Source organism: Homo sapiens, chromosome 13 (assembly GCF_000001405.40).
Source record: "Homo sapiens chromosome 13, GRCh38.p14 Primary Assembly".
Classification (NCBI taxonomy): domain Eukaryota; kingdom Metazoa; phylum Chordata; class Mammalia; order Primates; family Hominidae; genus Homo; species Homo sapiens.
Genome location: NC_000013.11, coordinates 28385530 through 28408106, shown reverse-complemented (window position 1 = coordinate 28408106; position 22577 = coordinate 28385530). Strand labels below are relative to the sequence as shown.

Below are 22577 nucleotides of genomic sequence, written 5' to 3'. Positions count from 1 at the left end.
ATCTAAAAGCTTGTCTTCCAGATACAAGAGAACTTTAGCTGTTTGATGTCACAATCCCAAGTACATATGCAAATGTCTAATCTAGGTATACACATGTGTATATGTGCACATTATATACACTCATACCTGTAATACGAGTGTGTGAAAGATAGCAAGTCTAACGCAAGATTAACATGGGGATGTTATAGTCTAGAAAATGGAGAATATGATAATGAAAAAATAAGGCAAAGTGACTCTCATATAATGACTTTTAAACTTTGTCATTAAGATGTTTCTAATAAAGGAGAAAGTACATAATTTCTCTTTGGCTCAGTTTACTCTACTTATCAATAAGCATTAAAATGTTCATTTATTTTACCTCATGATTATTATAAGGTTATACCTGGTAAAAACTGCAGAAATTCCTTGAGGAATGGTCACCTTTTATTCATTCTTTTTAAATTTTAAATCTTGTAATCTAACTGTAAGACAGACATCTTTAAAAACATTTGGGGAAATCTGATATACGGTTTAGGTGCAAACACCACCACGGAATTATTGCTAATTCTCTTAGGTATAAAAGTAGTGTTGTGGTTATATTGGAAAAATTTGCTCATTTTTTAGAGAGATGCACTGAAGTACATAGGGCTAAAATGACAAGATGCCTGAGATTTGTTTTAAAACACAGAAATCCTTCATTTGGCCAGGCTAGAAAAATTTTAAAATAAATAAATAAATAAAATACAGAAGAAAAAAAAGGGGTAGATGAAACCAATGTGACAAAATCTTGATAACTGTGAAATCTGGGTGGCGGGTATATGGGGGTGTATCACACTATTCTCTCTACTTATCGGTGTGTTTGATAATAATAAACAATTAAAGAAAGTAGAAACTCTTAGCAAAAACAACTTCGGGTACCTTGTGCCTGTCTGCATGTGTGCAAATGTTTATGGGGCGCCGACGGCATGCTCGGGCCCTGCTTAGCTATGGGGACAGAGTGAATACGTCGATTTGTCCCCTGTCCTCCTGTAGCTGTTGGCCCAGCGGGGACTCAGAACCATTAAGTCAGCACTTAAAAGGTGGTGAGTACTCTGCAGGAGGACGTTACAGGGCCAGTACCCCTGCAGATGCGATAGTTTAACACTCTGGAGTTCCTTCTCAGCTCAAGGACCAGGGAGGAATAGTAACGGAACGTTTTTCTGACCACATTCCCTTCTGTCTTCCCCTTTTTCTCACTGACTTTAGCCTCTCATTTTCCTCTCACATAAGTCATTCCTGCTCTTGGCTGCTAAAGATGAACCACTCATTTTTTTCTGGAAATGAAGCTTGAAAATTTCACTTAGCCTATAATCCCAGCTACAGGCTGAAGCGGCAGGATTGCTTGAACCCAGAGGTTCGAGGCTGCAGTGACCTATGATTGCACCACTGCACATTAGCCTAGGTGACAGAGTGAGACCCTGTCTCTAATATTAATAATAATAATAATAATAATAATAATAAAATTCCTCTTGGTTTAAAAAATCTGTAGAATCTGCCCAAGACATGTGCAAATTAGAGACCAGCAAGCTTTCTGCTCAAAAAAATTCTAGTCCAGAAAGTCAGAATGCAAAATGGTGAAATGTTTAAAACAGAGAGAGAATTCATGGACCTCAAAGATAAATAACATCAACACCTTTATTTTATAATTAAACACTTGAGGCCTGAGAGCTTGAACAGTTCCCCAAAACTTGAGCAGAGAGAGACTGAATTTAATAACTGTTTCATGATGTTGATTTCCATATGCACTTAATTAGCCCTGGAAAAACTTAGCCATCCAACTGCATATTCTGATTAAAAGCCAGCCTTTTATAGATATAAAATGGTATGATTTCCTTGAGTTTTTTATTCATTAACATAACTTCATTTTTTCCGTGTTTGAATGTTACTTCCACTAAAAACTAAAATCTAGATACTAAATTTTCTAATTTATGCATTTTTATTTAATATTAACATTTACAACGAAAAGGATGTATGGTGACACACTAGTGTGGGGCTTTTTTCAAGTATCAGCCAAATATATTTGCTATTTTTAAGTTTTGAGGATGAATATAGGAAAAAATCTAAGGAAAAGAAGATCACACATAAAATTTGTGACTTTGTTATCTGAGGACTTACACCAAGTTTTCATTTCACCTGTCCCCATTGACTGAACCATGCTGTAAAGCCACATTGTGACAACTTTTTTTTTTAATAGGTGTGACTTTTGTTCCAATAATGAAGAGTCCTTTATCCTGGATGCTGACAGCAACATGGGAAACAGAATTGAGAGCATCACTCAGCGCATGGCAATAATAGAAGGAAAGAATAAGGTATTGTTTGTAAAAATGCGCACTGGGATATTTATTCCACAAATACACTCTCAGCTCCCAATTCTAGGTTTATTGGCACCAGAAGTAATTTAAATGTTCAAACAAAAATTCAGAGAGAAGAAAGACAATATCTGAGCTATGTCTTCATGGAGATACACACAGAGACTACTCAAGCTACCAGTTCCAACATAATGAGTACTCATTCCTAATGGTAGAGATGGCACTGTCCACTTGAACATCAAACTGGTCCACATTGGTGGTTCACAGTCCTGGCTGCCTATTAGAATACTCTACCAATTATTATTATATCCAAATCTCCGGAGTGCAGCCTAGGGCTCGTAAAATCTTCCCAGGTGATTCCAGTACCTAACGGGGATTGAGAATCACTGATGTACATAAAGTGGGATCCCAGTAAGCAAAAGCTAGTGCAAGACTTAGAGCTAAAACTGAATGTTTCTATTTTGTGAAATATCATGTATTTCCCTCTGTCTGCAAGAGCAAAGCCTGAGTTGAGGGGGATATGCAAACACACACAATCTATCAAGATTCCTTGACCTCATCAGCGCACTATTCATTTTATACTCCCCTAACCCCCACTGAAGCTTGGCAATAGCTAACAAGCCTGTCAGCTAGGCAAGTCTCAGTGGATCTCAGACCTAGTGGCTTTTTCCTGTTGAATTAGTAAAGAATACACTTAAAAATCTGCTATTGTCTGGCACAGGGATAGTGATTCTTTTCTTTTCTTTTTTTTTTTTTTTTTGAGATGGAGTCTCACTCTGTCACCCAGGCTGGAGTGCGATGGCGTGATCTCGGCTCACTGCAACCTCTGCCTCCTGGATTCAAGTGATTCTCCTGTCTCAGCCTCCCAAGTAGCTGGGATTACAGGCACCTGCCATCACACCTGGCTAATTTTTGTATTTTTAGTAGAGACAGGGTTTCACCATATTGGCCAGGTTGGTCTCAAACTCCTGACCTCAGGTGATCCACCTGCCTCGGCCTCCCAAAGTGCTGAGATTACAGGCGTGAGTCACTGCACCCAGCCATGATTCTTTTAAAAAGAAAAAACATATCAAGTATCCCCTTGCTGACATGTCTGTTTACATATATATTTCTTGATTTGGAGTAGAGACTGTTAATACAGATTCCACTGCCTGCTTGAGTGTGGGTATGCTTATGTCATCTATTCAGCCGTACACTTTGCACTTGAAGATGACAAAGTAGATGGCATCGTTCCTCATGTATGATTTAACAGTAACAACAAATAACATCTATAATTTTCATTATGTGAAACTTTTTGACATATGCTAATGTCACCATCATTCTTTGGCAGATGAGAGTGGTTATCTCTATTTTAAAGATAAAACAGGGAAGATAAGATGATTAACCCAAAGACAGCTTAAAAGTATAAATGAGAGACTCAAACCAAAGTCTTTCCTTTGCAAAACCTAATGCCCTTATAGCCAAGTAAGCCACTGTAGAAATTAGTCAGAGTGGCAATAGCTTATATGATAACACCAATAGTCTCTTATTAAACACTTAGGAAGTTTTTATAACTATAGCAGTAGCTGTAGGTGGTTTACAACTCTTTTTCTCTGACAGAAATAAGCAGTACTTTAAAACAGTCCGTGATGTATAGCTATTGATAAGAGAGCAGTTTAATGAAATACTTAGAGGAAGTTATATAAACTTGAAAGTTTAATTTGTTCTTTCTTTCTTTCTTTCTTTTTTTTTTTTTTGAGACAAAGAGTCTCACTCTGTTGCTCAGGCTGGAGTGCAGTGGCCCAATCTCAGCTCACGGCAACGTCTGCCTCCCGGGTTCAAGTGATTCCTGTGCCTCAGCCTCCCAAGTAGCTGGGATTACAGGCACACGCCATCACTCCTGGCTAAGTTTTGTATTTCTAGTAGAGACGGAGTTTCACCATGTTGGCCAGGCTGATCTAGAACTCCTGACCCTGTGATCCGCCTGCCTTGGCTTCCCAAAGTTCTGGGATTACAGGCATGAGCCACCACACCCGGCCTTCAGATATTTTTAATAAGGAAACTACCTCAGTTTATTAGCAGTGAACAGCAAATTAGTTGTCACAAAGTACTAGAAAAATGTCAAGATGCCATTCATTGGTTGTGTCAATTCATTTTGCTTTTTCCTGACCATGTCAGGAGGATGTACTGTTAACTGCCGGATATTAACACAAGAATTTATAAGCTTAATTTCAGTGGTAACTTCTAGTGCTATTTTGGTATCCTATCCACAAAAATATACAATAGGAAATGAAATGAAAAATGAGAAAGCTAGGTGAAGTTTCTGGCTAACCCAAACCATGAAGTGGCAACTTGACTCCATATATAATGTAAAAACCTATAAAAATCAGTGGAGGTGGAGTATCAAAACATGCCCATGATAAAAGAACGTCCCAAGATTTTCTCCATGAAGGTTTAAAACAAATTTATTGTCTGGTAATTTTACAGTTACGCAGAAGATTTTAAATATAGACCTCTGCACTTGTGCTACCCAACCTGCCATCAGGAGCCCTGGAGTCAAACTACGACACTTCCTCTCTGTATAACCACATACAAACCAGCTCACCTCTCTCAGCTTGAGTTCTTTCCTCCAAAAAAAACAGAACTAATGATACTTGCCTTAGCTAGTACTTCCTGTTACAAGGATGAAATGAAATAACATAATGAAGGCCAGACGCAGTGCCTCATGCCTGTAATCCCAACACTTTGGTAAGCCGATCACCTACCAAAGTGGCGGGCGGATCACCTGAGGTCAGGAGTTCAATACCAGCCTGGCCAATATGGCAAAACCCCGTCTCTACTAGCAATACAAAAATTAGCCGGGCGTAGTGGTAATCCCAGCTACTCGGAAGGCTGAGGCACAAGAATCGCTTGAACTCAGGAGGTGGAGGTTGCAGTGAGCCAACACTGTGCCACTGCACTCCAGCCTGGGTGACAGAGTGAGACTCTGTCTCAAAAAGTAAATAAATAAATAACATAACGTAACGTAACGTAAAGTAACATAACATAACATAATGAGAAAGCCCTATACAAGTACTACTTTAGTAAAGTGAATGTCATATGTACCCTTATGCAATTCCCTAAACTGATTGTGATCATATACAATGAAGACTTTGTTAAACAATTGTTTGCACTGAAAAAACTTTTAATACTCACACTAAACAAAGTCTCTCTCTCTATATATATAGATATATTTTATATCTATATATATGGTACATATCCCATTAGCAGTTGTAATTGTAATATATTAGACTTTAAATAAAATGATTGAGTTCATATCTTGAATTTAGGAGAATTTAGTAATTTTACTTTTAGCATCTACTAATATATCTTTTTGTGGGTGTGAAAAAATGTATCTGTCATATGATGGTGACAAAATGGAAGTTTTGCTGTTTCTGAATTATATGCAGTGCTTTTTCCTTCACAATTAAAACTGTTTTTATTTTCTATACATTTTTAGAAAGCAAATTAAAGTCCCAGCTTAGACTGCGGTGATCCCTTTATCCACCGTCACATGGTAGCCTGCCCAGCAATGCTACTCCACAGATCAGTGGGGCAGCGATCACACTCACGCTGGAGCACCTTGGATTTTTTTTCTTTGTTTTGTTGTATTTTTTTGTTTAACTTAAGGAAGGGTATAGAGGACAATAAAATTTAGTTTCCTTATTGGCGAGTTTTGGCCCAGATTTGTGAAAAGTGAGTCATCAACTGGAGTTGCTAGTAGCAAATGTGCACTTTCGTATTGTCTAAGTGGTGTTGCCAAACTGTTAGGTTTGTAGATATGGAGTAGGAAGTAGAAGGAACCCCGTGTTAGAAAAAACACACAGGAAATACGTTATCACAGCATTAATTCTGTAAGGTTGGAGAATCATTACCATTTTAATGTGTTAGCAATATTTCCATTGAAATCCTTCTGAGTGTACCTTGAGAAATGTGTCCTGTATGAGACAAATCCATGACAGGAGCAAGAATCCTAACCACAGAATTACAGCTTGTGTTTCAGTTCCCACACACACCCCAATTTTTTCTAAATCTCACGTTCTGTTTTCCCATCAGTTGGCTCAAATGTGCCACCCTGTGTTAATTTTAGATTCTTCCATGACCTTTACACATCTACTTTTATTTCTCAGTGAAACACTTGAAAGGAAGCTATATTAGAAACATCCCGAGATTAAAATCAGTGTTCCATATATAGATGTTTAAAAAACGAGTGCTGGAATTAGGCTGAATGACACATCAGCCCATCCATTCTATTCAGTGAGGTTCAAACAACATTGTAGTAACGAATTACTAATGCTTAGTGAAGGGGAAGGAAGGAAGGAACATGAAAAACTCCAAACTTACAGTACTTGCTGATAGTTTTATGAGCATTCCTGGGTCATACCAAAGAGCCTAGAGAATGGGCTTGAAGGATCTGTCTCTAACATGTAAATCCTTGAGGGCCAGGCCAGGCAACTGGAAGCACCACAAAAAGCAAAAGCAGTAAAAATGAAGAGTAGAAAGCATGAGTCCTTTAAGACTAATATAAAATTTGATAGTCTAATTTTATTTATTTATTTATTTATTTATGTATTTTGGCATGATCTCGGCTCACTGCAACCTCTGCTTCTCATGTTCAAGCGATTCTCCTGCCTCAACCTCCCAAGTAGCTGGGACTACAGGCGCCTGCCACCATGCCCAGCTAATTTTTGTATTTATAGTAGAGACAGGGTTTCGTCTTGTTAGCCAGGCTGATCTTGAACTCCTGACCTCAGGTGATCCACTCACCTCTGCCTTCCAAAGTGCTGGGATTACAGGCCTGAGCCGCCGCATCAGGCCTAATAGTCTAATTTTATTTCAGCACTTCTGCTTTTTTCTCTTCCTCAGTCCTCTTTCATTTATTTTCAATTGTGGAAAATGAAAACTAATTATAGCACTAATACAAGTAGATATCCTTAAGAATTTATTTTTGCATACCTTATAGAATAAATGATTATAATTTCAAACGCACAACTCAAATTCTTGGTTACTTTCTCTTTGAAAGTATTTAGTTGATATTGCATGCCCTAACTGTGATGCTATTTTCGTTTTTTTCCCTTAACACCATAGTATTTGGATATAAGGACTGAGGAACAGATTTTTTCCTTTATTCAGAAGACTCAGACATTGAAACTCACTGTCTCATGCAAAGCTGCCTTCTAGTCCAGCCAGACTACACTGATCTACAATTTGCACCTGAGCTCCTTTCTCTGGCCCTATAAAGTTTAAATTTTAATTGTCAAATAATTTTATTTTTAATGAGAAAATGTTTGAATTTATAATTTAAAAATATATCCCCTGAAAGAGAAGTACTCTAGAAATGAGATAAATTTTAATAAAACTGATCATAGGATATGTTTCACCTTATTTTTAACTTTTCTTCTTTAGTGATAACCATTGTATTTATCAAATATATTTTCAAACCACATAACAACAGTTGAAGAGCAGCTTGCAGCTTATGTAAAATGTCATCAGAGAAGCCAACTAGTATTTCTGTAAATAGTAGTAGTATTTAATTTATGTTACCCATCTCTGCGGATTAAAGGAAGTATTCTCAAGGAAAAATTCAATTAAAGGTGTAGACAGAATTTTGCCAATAGATCTGTGTTATTCAACTTAAAGAGTCTCAAGGCGAGAAGCAATCTGGTGTAGAGATTAGGAGCATAGGCGCGGAGGCAGACACACCTGAGCATAAATTCTGCCCAGGCCTGTCTGTGGTCCTTTGCATCTTTGGGTGAATCATCTAATCTCTCGGAACCTCAGTTGTCCTACCTGTAGAATAGGGTAATATACCCATCTCACAGGGTTTTGGGGAGGATTAAATGAGACAATTCCTGTAAAGTGCCTTGCATGCTGCCTGGTGCATTGTAAGGCATACATAAAGGTTCGCAGAAACAAAGAAATAATGTAAACTCCCATCAACGTTGTTTTCTGCTTCTATTTTAATAGAAGCTTTGGAGACATGATTTCTGGGGCAGGCTTGACTACGAGTAATGTGTCTTGTTTGGAAGGTGTCATTCACACAAAAGAAGAAAAATTCAATACATTTCTGTCTCCATCTTGTGACCCGGATTCATTTCACTTCGGGGCACCTCAGTTTTATTCTCTGATTATACATAAATTTGGACCTATTTGACTATTTGTTGGGGACTTGTAAAATGGCCACGGCCATTCCCAGGTTACCTACACAGGTCTTAAATGTGGCAAATGTATACATCTGACTTGATTTTCCCTTGCCACGAAACCCAGTTCTTGTTCTCGGTTGCTCTAAGTTCAATGAAATCAAAATCTTTTAAATAAAAACCCAAACATGACTCATAGATGCAGATAAATGCTGTCCATAATTTCAAACACTCCCAAGCCAACAGAAATGGGTTTTTCACTTACTTACTGAGCAACAATTAATCTGAGAATCTAAGTAAGTTTCTCCTGAGGCCCATTAGGATAAACACTTGAGAACTAACTTCATAAAAAAAACAGTGCTGGAGCTGACACCCCAGCTTAAAAAGGCTTCATCTGAGCTCCTTGTTTCTGAATTTTTTGCATACTGCTTTGAAGGGTCTAAGCTTCCTGAGACAATGTAAGGGAGTCAGAGTCGTATTTGACGATCTCTCCTGTCTTCCAGCTTCCACCAGCTAACAGTTCTTTCATGTTGCCACCTACAAGCTTCTCTTCCAACTACTTCCATTTCCTTCCGTGACTCTAAACGGGTGGGTACAACAATTACAAGGAAATGGCTATTCAGAATTTTTTATGTCCCACCTCTTAAAAAGATTCATCATCAAAATAAGAAAAGGGACACCTGAGCTCTCTTTCGTACACTTTCCCATGGATTATTTGCCTTCATATGCGCTTTCCTTGCAAAAGAGAGAATAATTTTTGTATGATCTTCAAGGAGGGAAATTCTTCTCTATCACCTTAAAGAATGATAATGTTAAGGGAGGGATTGTGTCATATTCATCTCTGTCTCTCTTACAACATCTGGGCAATGCCTTGATAATCACTCAATAAATGTCTGCTAAATTGTCTGCCACATATTGCAGACACTTTCATTACCAATAATTTCAATAATACACAGGGAGTATATGGGTAGGTGTAATTAAGCAGATCCTTCCAACAAACAGAAGAGAAAGCACTGTGTACTACTCACTATACCACAGTGAAAATTGTAGAGAATTTGGACCAATGAATTTGCTGGCTAAAAACATGAGGAACATGTGTTTAAGTCTTCCTGATCTGTAGATTAAAGACAGAAATACCTTAATTTATTAGATGGGATAAGAGAACACAACTAAAGTGCCTAGCACATTACTTAGAAACTCAAGAAAATGTTAGGACTCTCTCCTACAGCCAAACCACTTGTAGAGTATGTCCACCACCTTGGAAAGTCAGCTGTCACATTTCAGCCTTACATTACTTTAGCCTGTAAGTCACTTGTCATTATACTTCAGCAAGGACACTCTATTAGTCTGGAATCATTTGCACAGCCTCTGCAATTTCAAAGCCCATAACCAGTTATTTTTGTCCTAGGACATAGGCTGCAAAGATTTATAAGTAACTGGACTAACTTTTCTTTTCCATAATTTTAAGTATGAGAAACTAGCTTTCTCATTTTTTTCATATAGATTATACACTACTTTTTAATGCAAGCTTGGGTTAAATTTAAGAATGTTTAACAATTTGTTTCATATTGCCAATTTTTTTTCTTTGGAAGAATGCAAGTCTTTAAGTTGTCTAAAATTTTGTTTCATTACTTTTTAGACATCAGAATTTGGAAAGTGCTTTCAAGTTCATGCAATTTTGACTGCTAATGTTTCTTTAGGGACTAAGTTGTCAAATAATAGCACTAAAGTCTAGTGGAACAATATAATTGCATTAATTCATAATTTAAATTTTCATCTTCTAGATTAGGAATAGATACTTAATTTATTAAGAGAAATTAGGTAATTTACACACACACACACACACACACACACACACACACACACACACACGGTCTCCTTCAGGACCATCCAGTGCTGCATGCCACATTATTTGAGCATAGAAAAAAAGTTTCAAGCCAGGTACAGTGGCATGTGCCTGTTGTCCCAGCTACTTGGGAGACAAAAGCGGGAAAACTGCTTGAGCCCAGAAGTTCAAGGCCAGCCTGGGCAACATAGCAAGACCCCATTTCTTAAAAAAAAAAAAGTTTCAGCCAAACATTATCTTCTGTCCTTGCTCACTTAACATGCCTGTTATAGAACCAAACAGCAGAGAAGGCTCCTGTTATAACTGGCATCTATGCTCTCAGGTCACCCAAACAAAAGGGAAGGCCTCAGCCTCACCTGTTCCTCTCATTGATGTGGAACTGACCACCTCATAGGGTAGGACGTGCAGTCCCACATCTCAGCTTCAGGTCTGTAATTGTTACGCCAGCAGCACGAGATAAATAAGCCTGAAACCCTCATATGAGTCGGATGTCATAGGCCCCGGTCTCCTGAGGACCTGCTTTCCTGTTATTTTTCCATTCTTGTTGGGGCTCGGCAAGGGGAGAGCCTTCTGGTAACCACCACCTATGCAATACTCTCTTTGCAGAATGAATGGAGTAGCTGAATCATTTCAACCTCAGAAGTAGCTTGGGGTGTTCAATTAGTTATTTGTCCTGTTGCTAGCTAAAGTTTCCTTTTCTTTTGCAGATGGCTAGCACCTTGGTTGTGGCTGACTCTAGAATTTCTGGAATCTACATTTGCATAGCTTCCAATAAAGTTGGGACTGTGGGAAGAAACATAAGCTTTTATATCACAGGTAAGCCACACATCCTATAACCAGAGACAGCCTGGTGACTTCATTCTCTCTTCAGTCTTGTTTGCTTTTAGTGCATTTATAGCTTGAGTGATTTTTTTTTAATTCCATAGAATTGTCAAACTTTGAGTGCCTTCATCCTTGCTCTCAGGAATAGAATTCTACCTCATCGGATCTCGTAAGGAGTTATTTCCCTGTATTCTCTTTTAGAGTTATTTGTGTTTGTCTCCCTCCCAGACTGGATTATGAATTGGGAATCTTGTATGCTCATTTTTTCATTCCCTTCAGTACCTAGCACAGGGTCTGGTACATAGCAGTTCAATACCAATCAAGGAAACCAATTATAATGCATATAATATGATGACATCGTTTTTGGTTTTGTTTTTGTTTTAACCAAAAGGTTAATTTTTTTACAACTTAGGTAATTTAGACTTTTTGGGGAATGAGGCTCTGTAGCAATCTGAAACAGAGCTTTATTAACAATAGTTAATGTGCTATTTTTTGATAGCATTTAAGAATTTTTAGCCTTAAATATGATGGTCTCTGCAAATCTTAAAAACCTCCAAGGTACACAAATGGCACTCCCTATGTCCCTCAATGGGTACAGGAAGGAAGTAAGTAGCTCAAAGTATAAAAACAATTGCCTGGCTCCACACTCCCCCAATTTCTGAGGAAACATGGGCAGTAAGCCAACTTTCTGGAAACTTCTCACTGCCCGGGGCAGGCTGCAGAAATTGCCAAAAGTTCTCCAGAAAGAAATAGACATGTCCAATTCCATGACACATATGTGTTGTCAGATCACAGGGGCCTCTGGCAAGTTAGCCAAGCCCCAGAGAAGCTGTGCCATGGGAGATATCCCTGAGTAGATTCTCATAGAACGTCAGGGCTGTCAGGGATTCTAGAGGCTATTCTGCATCATAGCTCTTGTATTTTCCAGATGAGCAAATGGGATTTGGACTAATTAAATACAAAGGTTTGCACTGTCCTTTATATTTGGTTGGAAACAAGTTACTGTCTCAACCCATAGTCGTAGTATGTCTGATTTAGAATACAAAAGACTGAAAAATTCCTGTTTTGTTCTGAACATTCAATAACTTTGTAACAGTTTAATCAGCACTGTTAAATGGTACAGTTCAACTCTACTGAGCACTTGGAGGAACATCAATGAAGTCCTGTCTTTCTAGGAACAGGTTTCTAACACCAAGGAAACAAACAAGAAATGTCAAATTACATATATCCTAGTATCAAAATTTATGTGCAGAGGTAATGTGACAGGTGAGCTTGCTTTCTAAAGCCACCACTGTCCAATAGAGATATAATATAAGCCACAAATACCATTTAAAACTTTCTAGTAACCACGTTTTTTTAAAAGTAAAATTAATTTTATTTAACCCAATATATCCAAACTATTGTGATTTCAATATGTAATCAGTATTTTTTAAAAATATTACACTGCTTCAGTTTTTACACTTAAATCAATTTAAATAAAATCAAATAAACTGAATATGCTTCAGTTCCTCTGACACAGTAGCCACATTTCAAGTGCTCAAAAGCCACATGTGGCTCACAGTTACCATATTGGACAGTGCAGCTGTAAGCCTCTGAGAAGGAAGCAGGACCTGAACAGGAAGAGAGAAGGTGGGATTTGAATAGGTGGAGAGAAGAAAACAGACTTGCCCTGACATTTTCAGAGCCAAGACAAGAGTACCAGTGGAGGCCCACAAACCATACGTCTAACTACTGACAAGTTCTACATCAAGCAAACAAGCCATTAAATACCTTTTAGCCCCCTATGGACAAATATACTTTCATGATGACCTGAGAGGTCAGGATCAATTTAGAGCTCTGAGACTACTCAGATTCCAGAGCAGATTGTGGCAGCACCTGGCCGTGCAGAAAAACTAAATCACCCACCTCCCCTCTCCGCCCCTTACCCTGTCCACACTGCAAGGGGCCATGCACCATGTGTGGTGTCTCCCAGCCCACACATCTAAGCTCTCCCCATGCCCCTCACAGATAGTCTCCTTTGGCCACTGCCTGGACAGACCCAAAGGTGTGAATACTGACAAGCAGTCTGATCTCAGGAGGCCAGACCTAGGGAAGAGCCAACCTAGAAGCAGATTTAAATCAGCCTTATAGGGAATTCTGAGATCCCAGGGACCTGGATCATGATATAGGAATGGAGTGACACAGGCTGTCGGTAGGCATGCTCACTTGGCCCCATAAACTCTTCACATTGTGGGAAGAGCTGCGACCAGAACAGAGCTGCGACAGGGATCCTTCTTGCCTGGGTCTGAGGGCAGTACTGGAAGAGGATGTGCTAAGAGAAAAGGGGAACATCATGCTCACTTCCTTATTAATCACTGTTCCCAATGAAAGCTAACTGATGCCTAGCATTAGTCACAGCACCAACCTCTGGCTAGCCCAGAGTCTCATCGCTGCATCATATTTCTACCCATGGTGTTGTTGCTGAAAGGGCCCAAGTTGATAAAGGTGATCTCCTGCTGAATTCAGGCAGAAATTCCCTCCTACCTCTCACCATATTGTACAATGTATAACCATGGCGGGGTGGAAACCTCTTCTAGATCCCAAGGCTTATCCATACAAAATGAGAATTCGATTCAGACATACCTACTTGAAGCTCACAGTTCTTTTCCTCTAGAAATCCAAGAGCTTTAACTTTAAAACTGACACAAGTCCAGTCAACCAAGCCCTCATTGCCTGGAATATACTTTCCCTTAATCCTTTTCTACCAGTCCTGAAAAGTTCTGGTTTTGATTGTGATATTAGGTTAACTTGCTTACGTTCATTATTAGTTTTTAAATAATTATTATCTTTCTCTCACTCAAATCTTTGTCACTAGAGATGAGAGTAAAGACTCATGAATGTTGTACCTCATATGTTTATTTTTTGAAAAAAATGAACATATATTTGTTCAGTGTTTATACTTGACTCAGTGAGGGTAATGCTTTAAAAGTGCCTGTCTAAAATTTTAACGCTCTTCTTATCTAGATTTGGATCTTTACTGGTCCTCATTTCAATCCTGTTGCCCCTTCTTTAAAATACAGTTACTTGGGGCCAAGCACAATGGCTCACGCCTGTCATCCCAGCACTTTGGGAGGCTGAGATGGGAAGATTGCTTGAGCACAAGAGTTTGAGACCAGCCTGGGAAACATGGCAAAATCCTGTCTCTACAAAAAATACAAAAACTAGCTAGGCCTGCTGGCACGTGCCTGTATTCCCACCTACTTGGGAGGCTGAGGTGGGAAGATCACTTGAGCCCAGGAGGTCGAGGCTGCAGTGAGCCATGATGGCACCACCATGCTCCAGCCTGAGTGTCAGAGCGAGAGCCTGCCTCAAAACAACAACAACAACAAAAACAAACACAAAAATTTTTTTGAGTTGCCTTCCAAATTGATGAAAATGGTAAACTGTGGCCATTAGAATCCTTGACCGCTTCGACTCCAAACTTTGGCACACACTTGTACATAGCATCCACTTGAAACAAGCAGAACTTCCTGGTAACCATTCACTCTCTTTTTAAGTAATATTTCCACTCTTCGGTGGCAGTAGAGCCTTCTTTATTTTTACCCAACAAATGACATCCCTGGCGTCCTTTTAAATTCCTATGCTTGTCCCTTTCATGAACTTAATGCACATGCCTGATCCAATTGAGTTGAAATATCTACCCCCAAGTATGCACCTTTATAAATAGATGACACTTTCGTCTAACCCTGGGTTGAATGCCTCTTCTGAGCAAGGGTTGATTCTTCTCCATGACACCTCATAAGATGCCATGGATGTGATAATATGTTAGATGGATGAGTATTATTTGGTAATGATGATGACTGTGCTGAATTCGCCACAGATACTTAAGTGTGGGAAGATTTCTTGTTTTCACTTTGAGGGTTAGAAGGCAATTCTTTCTTGGGTCTGTTTTTGTACTCAGACTAAAAAAAAAAGTCAACATGAATTAAGGAGAAAAATCCCTCTGGGATTTTTATTTATCATCTTCCATGGATCAAAAGAGAATACCAAAGGGGTGAGACTGAGAAATAGTCATTTCTAAAAGGCTGTCTGATAACATAACAAATTAGCTTCAGTGACCATGTCCCCTATATAAGAAACAGGCCTCAAAACGAATTTGGTTCTTTGCTTTTCCTATGTGTGTGTTTTTGCTGTTTTGCTGGCACTCAGCATGACTATGGGTGTGTTAGCAATTACTGAGGGTGAAACAGGAACAGCACTGCCTTATCTCCCTGGTTTCCCAATGTCACTAAATGCATTTTATTTTGAGATTCCTGGTGGTGCTTGGCAAAGATAAACAAAATCTTCCATCAGGAAACCTGTGAGCTATTTCCACAGGAAGTTTCAAATCACTAAAGTAAATAGAAACTCTCTACACGATCTCAATGGTGTTACTTGGGCTCACTTGGGTTCTAACTACCAGGATGAGAGCTCATAAATGGAAAGTCTGTGGTCTTGTAAGAGTTGATTGCAACCAGTGCACAATACCTCTGCTCTACTATCTGTGTAAAAGTTGATGGCTGATGTTTTACTCCTCATGCTTGGAAAATGGCCCAAATATAAAAAGATGCTGAATTAGAGCAACTATTTCTGACACCTTATTGTTATCTTAAAAGTGACTGTCAGCTGCCCCTCCTGCATCTTCTGGCACATTCTTAGATTTTCATTTTAAAAGCAGGAAAACCTCCACTGGTATCCTCTCTCCTCAGCCACTGACGGCTTCGTAAGCCACTGTTACGCCCTGCTCCCAGGTTCCAAATGAATACTTTGGCATTTCTTCAGACGTGACACTTTATAATAAAGCCAAAGCTCAGAAAAATCAGAAAAACAAGCAAAGTGAGATTTAGGAAAGAGTTGATATGATATCTAATTTTGGACTATTGTCCCCTTAACGTTTAAAGGTTTCTTTATAGCTTTGTGTGCAAAGTATAATAATAATAATAGCATAACATAATGCTTTTCATCTTCAAAGCACTTTGTAAGATGTTGGCCCAAATTCTTTGCTCAAATGCAGATACACCACTAGTAATAAGCAATGGGAAGGTTTTGAGAGCGGGTCAGTTCAGGGCCGGCAGACTTTTTAAAATCCTCCCGTGAGACTGGGCCAAAATGATACTAAGAAATTCTCAGCCCCAAAGTGAACTGATGGCCCAGGTTAGGCATGCGGAGGGGAAGAGCTCATGGGGTGTTGACAGAGACACCTGGGAGATGGAGATGAAGGTGCCCAAAATATCTGAGACAGGTCTCAGTCAATTTAGGAAGTTTATTTTGCCAAAGTTAAGGACACATGTCTGTGACACAGCCTCAGGAGGTCCTGACAACATGTGCCCAAGGTGGCGATTGAGGTACAGCTTGGTTTTATACATTTCAAGGAGACATGAGACATCAATCAATATATGTAAGATGTACACTGGTTCCGCCTGGAAAGGCAGGACAACTCGAAGTGGGGAGGGGGCTTCCAGGTCATAGATAGGTGAGAGAAAAACGGTTGCATTCTTTTGAGTTTCTGATTAGCCTTTCCAAAGGAGGCAATAAGGTATGCATTTGTCTCAGAGAGCAGAGGGATGACTTTGAAGAGAATGGGAGGCAGGTTTGTCGTAAGCAGTTCTCAACTTGACTTTTCCCTTTAGCTTAGTGATTTTGGGGTCCCAAGACTTATTTTCTTATAACAAAGATTAGCTGGGAATCGACATTGGAGAAAATGGCTTTTAATGACATAGCCACCTTCAGAACATGTTTAAAATATGTTAGAGAGTAAATTTGATTTTTAAAATTATTCTCTTTACCCCTCTATCACCCCCATTTTAGAATCTGGCAACTCTTCCAGATTAGTTGTCCGCATTTTCAGAAGAAATCTTTGCTCTCTCAGGTCTGAATAGAACCATCCCCATAAAAGAAGTCCTGAGTAAGTCAGCGGGCTCCTCTCTGGCCCACTGTGCCACTGGCCCACTGTGGTCTTTGCTGGACCAGGGCAAGTAATCTGGGACAGGAGCAGGAGGAGGATAGTGAATAACAGTTGCTTCTCACTGCAAAAGTCTAGGACTAAAGTGGAATTGATTGGCACTTTACCTAGGACTTCCTATTCTCACTTGTTCGCAAACTATTTTGGATAAGTTTGACCGTAAGTGTGCCTTTGGTTTTTAGGATGAATTGCTCTTATGTTACTTCACTATTTTGCCCACTTGCCAGTGTCACTTGCCAGTAGGAATACTGTACATGATTTTAAAAATAGGAAATGAGGCCAGGTGCAGTGGCTCATGCCTGTAATCCCAGCACTTTGGGAGGCCGAGGAGCATGGATCACCTGAGGCCAGTAATTCGAGATCAGCCTGGCCAACATGGTGAAATATCACCCCCACCAAAAAGTACAAAAATTAGCCCAGCGTGGTGATGCACGCCTGTAATTCCAGCTACTCTAGAAGCTGAGGCAGGAGAATCGCTTGAACCCTGGAGGTGGAGGTTGCAGTGAGCTGAGATCATGCCACAGCACTCCAGCCTGGGCAACATAGCAAGACCCTGATTCAAAAAAAAAGGGAAATAAAGTTAACAACCAAGTTGGAGAAAATATGCCACTTTGAAGAGCAACTTCACGTGAATCAGGAGAAAATGCCATCCTAATAACTATTCTGTTTTGCATTTCCTACCTCACTTCTGATGGAATGAACTTAGTTGATTCCCACCTGCTGTGTTTGCTCATTTACCCCAAATACTCATCCTTTTTAATGTGGATACTGAGATAATTTGTGCACGAACAATTCTTAAGATCTTTGAATATCTCATTAAAAGACACTGATTTTTCTGTGAACTGAAGTTCTTTATTCTTATTTTATAGATGTGCCAAATGGGTTTCATGTTAACTTGGAAAAAATGCCGACGGAAGGAGAGGACCTGAAACTGTCTTGCACAGTTAACAAGTTCTTATACAGAGACGTTACTTGGATTTTACTGCGGACAGTTAATAACAGAACAATGCACTACAGTATTAGCAAGCAAAAAATGGCCATCACTAAGGAGCACTCCATCACTCTTAATCTTACCATCATGAATGTTTCCCTGCAAGATTCAGGCACCTATGCCTGCAGAGCCAGGAATGTATACACAGGGGAAGAAATCCTCCAGAAGAAAGAAATTACAATCAGAGGTGAGCACTGCAACAAAAAGGCTGTTTTCTCTCGGATCTCCAAATTTAAAAGCACAAGGAATGATTGTACCACACAAAGTAATGTAAAACATTAAAGGACTCATTAAAAAGTAACAGTTGTCTCATATCATCTTGATTTATTGTCACTGTTGCTAACTTTCAGGCTCGGAGGAGATGCTCCTCCCAAAATGAGTTCGGAGATGATAGCAGTAATAATGAGACCCCCGGGCCCCAGCTCTGGGCCCCCCATTCAGGCCGAGGGGGCTGCTCCGGGGGGCCGACTTGGTGCACGTTTGGATTTGGAGGATCCCTGCACTGCCTTCTCTGTGTTTGTTGCTCTTGCTGTTTTCTCCTGCCTGATAAACAACAACTTGGGATGATCCTTTCCTTCCATTTTGATGCCAACCTCTTTTTATTTTTAAGTGTTGAAGCTGCACAAACTGAATAATTTAAACAAATGCTGGTTTCTGCCAAAGATGGACACGAATAAGTTAATTTTCCAGCTCAGAATGAGTACAGTTGAATTTGAGACTCTGTCGGACTTCTGCCTGGTTTTATTTGGGACTATTTCATCTGCTCTTGATTTGTAAATAGCACCTGGATAGCAAGTTATAATGCTTATTTATTTGAAAATGCTTTTTTTTTTTTTACGTTAAGCACATTTATCTTGAACTGGAGCTTCTAAAATGGGCCCCAGGGGTGCAAGATGTTGGTGTAATTCAGAGATAGTAAAGGTTTATCGCAGTGTGAATTATAAGAGTCCATCCAAATCAACGTCCCCTCCCTCCTCTCATGCGATCCAGGTAATTATGCAGTTAGTGCCACAGTAGACTAGCCTAGCAAAGGGTTTGCTCCTTGCTGTCTCTGACTGCACCACACAGCTATTGATGGCAGCTGAAAGAAAGTGGATCATGCCTTAATTTTAAATATTCCTGTCCTCTGGTTATTATTTTAAGGAACTTCATCATGTTAAAATGACAGCATTCAAAGGTGTACCACAATCAATTTATCAAGGAAATAAAGGCTATTGTAACCAGAGATTTAATGCATTCTTCTAAATGTAAATTTAAAATTTGCCCTTTAAAAAAGTCCACTTTCCCCATATGCAAATGTTAATAGGATTTTTATGGGGATTAAGAAGCGGCAAAACTACAGAAGCAGAATTCAAAGTAATTTAAAAAATACACACCAGTTTTAAATCAAGAGAAGTTGTAATCTCTTGTTTTAAGCTTGCGTTTGAGGGAAAATGACTTTTTCACCAATTTAATATGCATTGTTCTGTTGTTTTTATTTATGATTGATCATTATATGTGACTTGCATAAACTATTTAAAAAAAAAAACTATAATGACCAAAATAGCCATGGCTGAGAAACACAGTGGCTGGGCAGTTCAATAGGAGGTGACAATATGACAACTTCTCAAGCTTGGGAACTCACCAGACTGTTTCCTCCTTTAGGTAACAGATTCTGTCCCACGGCTAAACTTGTCTTTCACGTGGGAATTGCTTTTGTCAAACGTGAAAGAGTAAACAATAGCATTTCCCCAGAATGCCAGTTTTATGGAGCCCCAAATGCTCTGAAAACAATTAGTAACCTGGAAGTTGTCAGCCCAAAGGAAAGAAAAATCAATTGTATCTTGAAATTTTACCTATGGCTCTTTGGCCTGGCTTCTTTGTTCATTATAAGTTAGTGTGTTCCTTCAGGAAACAATGCCTTAATACCATAGAACATGGGGGCCTTAATAGTTGCTAACATTAAAAAAGCAAACAGAATGATTGAGGGATCCTTATGAAAACAAAATGGTGAATTGGACATGCAGAACCTACCATTTCCTTCCCCTGTTTGCAATTTTTGTGGGGAGGGGAGGATGTTAGTATTTACAAAAGATGATTTTAAGAACTTCCAAGAGATGAGTTTAAGAATTCCATAGAGTATTAGTTGTTCACTGTGTAATTAATCCTTCCGGAGAGTCTTTTTTTTTTTTTTTAAAGAAACTTTTGGGTGGGTTTTGTTTTTTATTAGTTACCCTAGGGGTATGTTACCCTGGGGTATGAAGGGAGGTGAAGATAACGGAGGGGGGAGAAAAAAAAAAGGAGAAAAAAGGAGCCTAAAATGGGGAATAATTGAAATGGAACAGGGGGTGTGAGGCTGGTTCCTCAGTCCCCATTCCAAACGGAGGATAGAAGCTGTGTATTTATGTGACCTGGCAGATCTCTGGGGCCATAACACTGAAAAGTGAAAGAACCTGGTGGGCAGCTATCTTTGGCTACTGATAACCAGCAGAAATGTCTGTTAATTCTGATTTTCTCAATTTGAAGGGATCAGCTACACTGTTAAATTTTGGAAAGCCACTACCTACTTCCATCAAGTAACTTAGGTTTCGAAATATGGGTTCAACGCACCTCCCTTATTCAAAATGTCAAAATAGATTATTATAATGTATAAAGTAAGAATTGACAAAATATGATTCTTGGGTTGATTGGTCATTTAGAAACTAGCCAAAAGTGAGACTTTTAATGTAGAACATTTTTCAGAAATGGGTACAAAGAAAAATGCATATTACTGTATATTTCAGAGTGTTTATGTGAACCTTGTATTTAATTGAGAGTCCCATGTACGTTCTGCAGCCTTTTTGCTGCTTCTATCATCTGAAGTTTGTGTAGTACAAATAAGGCCTTTGGGATTCTTAATGACATTTATGTTAAAATGTTCTCTTCTCTTTAAACACCGTTTTCCAATCCACCTGTCAGGGAGTCCAAATCGTGTCTGTGTTGATGATGCTATACTTTGTAGCTAGAAAAACAATTTTAGTGTTGTGGGCTCTGTATTCAGACTTCCTTTTTACAAGACCGATGGGCAGTGATAGATTATTTTATCATATTTAATGCATGGGAAATAGTGTGCTGAGGAAGCTATTAAAAGTATAACTCAGTGAATTGGGTCTGAGTTTTAAATGAGATATTTCAAAATTGGCTTGCCACTGTAAAAGCGACTAAATAATAATATGATACTGTTCTTTATGATCTTGTCATGTTTCACTGATATGTTTGGGGTCTTCACTATGTAAAAAATGTCAAAATTGTAATGAGCAAGCATGTACAAGTAGTCGTAAATCAAAGGTTTTAAACAGGACTGCATTTTCAATTAGGAAAAGCTGTTTGGCAGATAGCATCCAATGCAAAAACAGAAATATCGTAACGTTCTGCTTAGTGGGCAAGATAAGATAGGAAAGACATGCTCAAAGAGGCAAAAGAATCATTGCTATCATTCATTCTACACTAGTTTGAAGAAGTTTTTGTACATCAGAGCACTTCCTTCAGCACACTTTTTTGCCTTCAGATTTCATTTTTTATAAAATGAGAAGACTAATGATAAACTGTAGAAATCAAAATTTATTGAGAAATCTGTTTCTCCTAACAGATAGTAACCCTGCCATGATATACTACTTCAACAATGTTATAAAATTTATGTGATAATATACATTTTAACCTGGGATTTCTAAATTGCTTTAACAAATGCTAATCCTGAGAGTTGCCCTGCAGGACTCAAAAGGGAAAGGTTTTGGGACGTGGCAGAACCCTGCAGGGACATGGAATTAAGGCCATTGCAATGTATCATCTTTGTAGCATTGTCATCACTCCTAAGCTGCCTTCACAGTTTTAGTACACTAAGATGAGGAAATCGAAAATGGGCAGAGAAAGCTCATACTGTATAATTGAAGACAGTGACAGAGAACGTGTCAGTTATGCCAAAACTCTTTTGATTTCTGTTCCAGGATTTCCAACAAGAGGGGAAAGGAATGACTTGGGAGGGTGGGAAAGACATTAGGAGTTGTTTTTATTTTTTACCTTGGAAGCTTTAGCTACCAATCCAGTACCCTCCTAACTAGAATGTATACACATCAGCAGGACTGACTGACTACTTCATTAGAGATATACTGTACTCATTGGGGGCCTTGGGGGTACTGCTGTTCTTATGTGGGATTTTAATGTTGTAATGTATTGCATCTTAATGTATTGAATTCATTTTGTTGTACTATATTGGTTGGCATTTTATTAAAATAAATTGTATTGTATCATATTTGTATGTTTTAAGAGAAAATAATATAAAATACAATATTTGTACTATTATATAGTGCAAAAACTACAAATCTGTGCCTCTGCCTCTTGAATTAATTCTTTGGTTGCTTGCATTTGGGAAGGGAATGGAGAAAGGAAAGAACCAATAAAGCTTTCAAAGTTCAAGAAATTCTCCTGTTTGGTCTGC

At 38.9% G+C, this 22577-nt stretch overlaps 1 protein-coding gene across 4 annotated transcripts in view; it reads left to right on the top strand.

Annotated features, from left to right (window-relative positions):
• The window catches only part of FLT1 (fms related receptor tyrosine kinase 1), a 194783-nt gene that overhangs the window by 87022 nt on the left and 85184 nt on the right, over positions 1-22577 (top strand). For 2 of the 4 annotated variants that reach the window (NM_002019.4, NM_001160030.2), the window contains exons 11-13: positions 2213-2327; positions 11039-11147; positions 18003-18311. In NM_002019.4, the coding sequence (NP_002010.2) occupies positions 2213-2327; positions 11039-11147; positions 18003-18311 (533 nt within the window). Of the gene's footprint in view, positions 1-2212; positions 2328-8988; positions 9064-11038; positions 11148-18002; positions 22560-22577 lie in introns of those variants that run through there. The other 2 variants (NM_001159920.2, NM_001160031.1) reach the window with 2 other exon arrangements.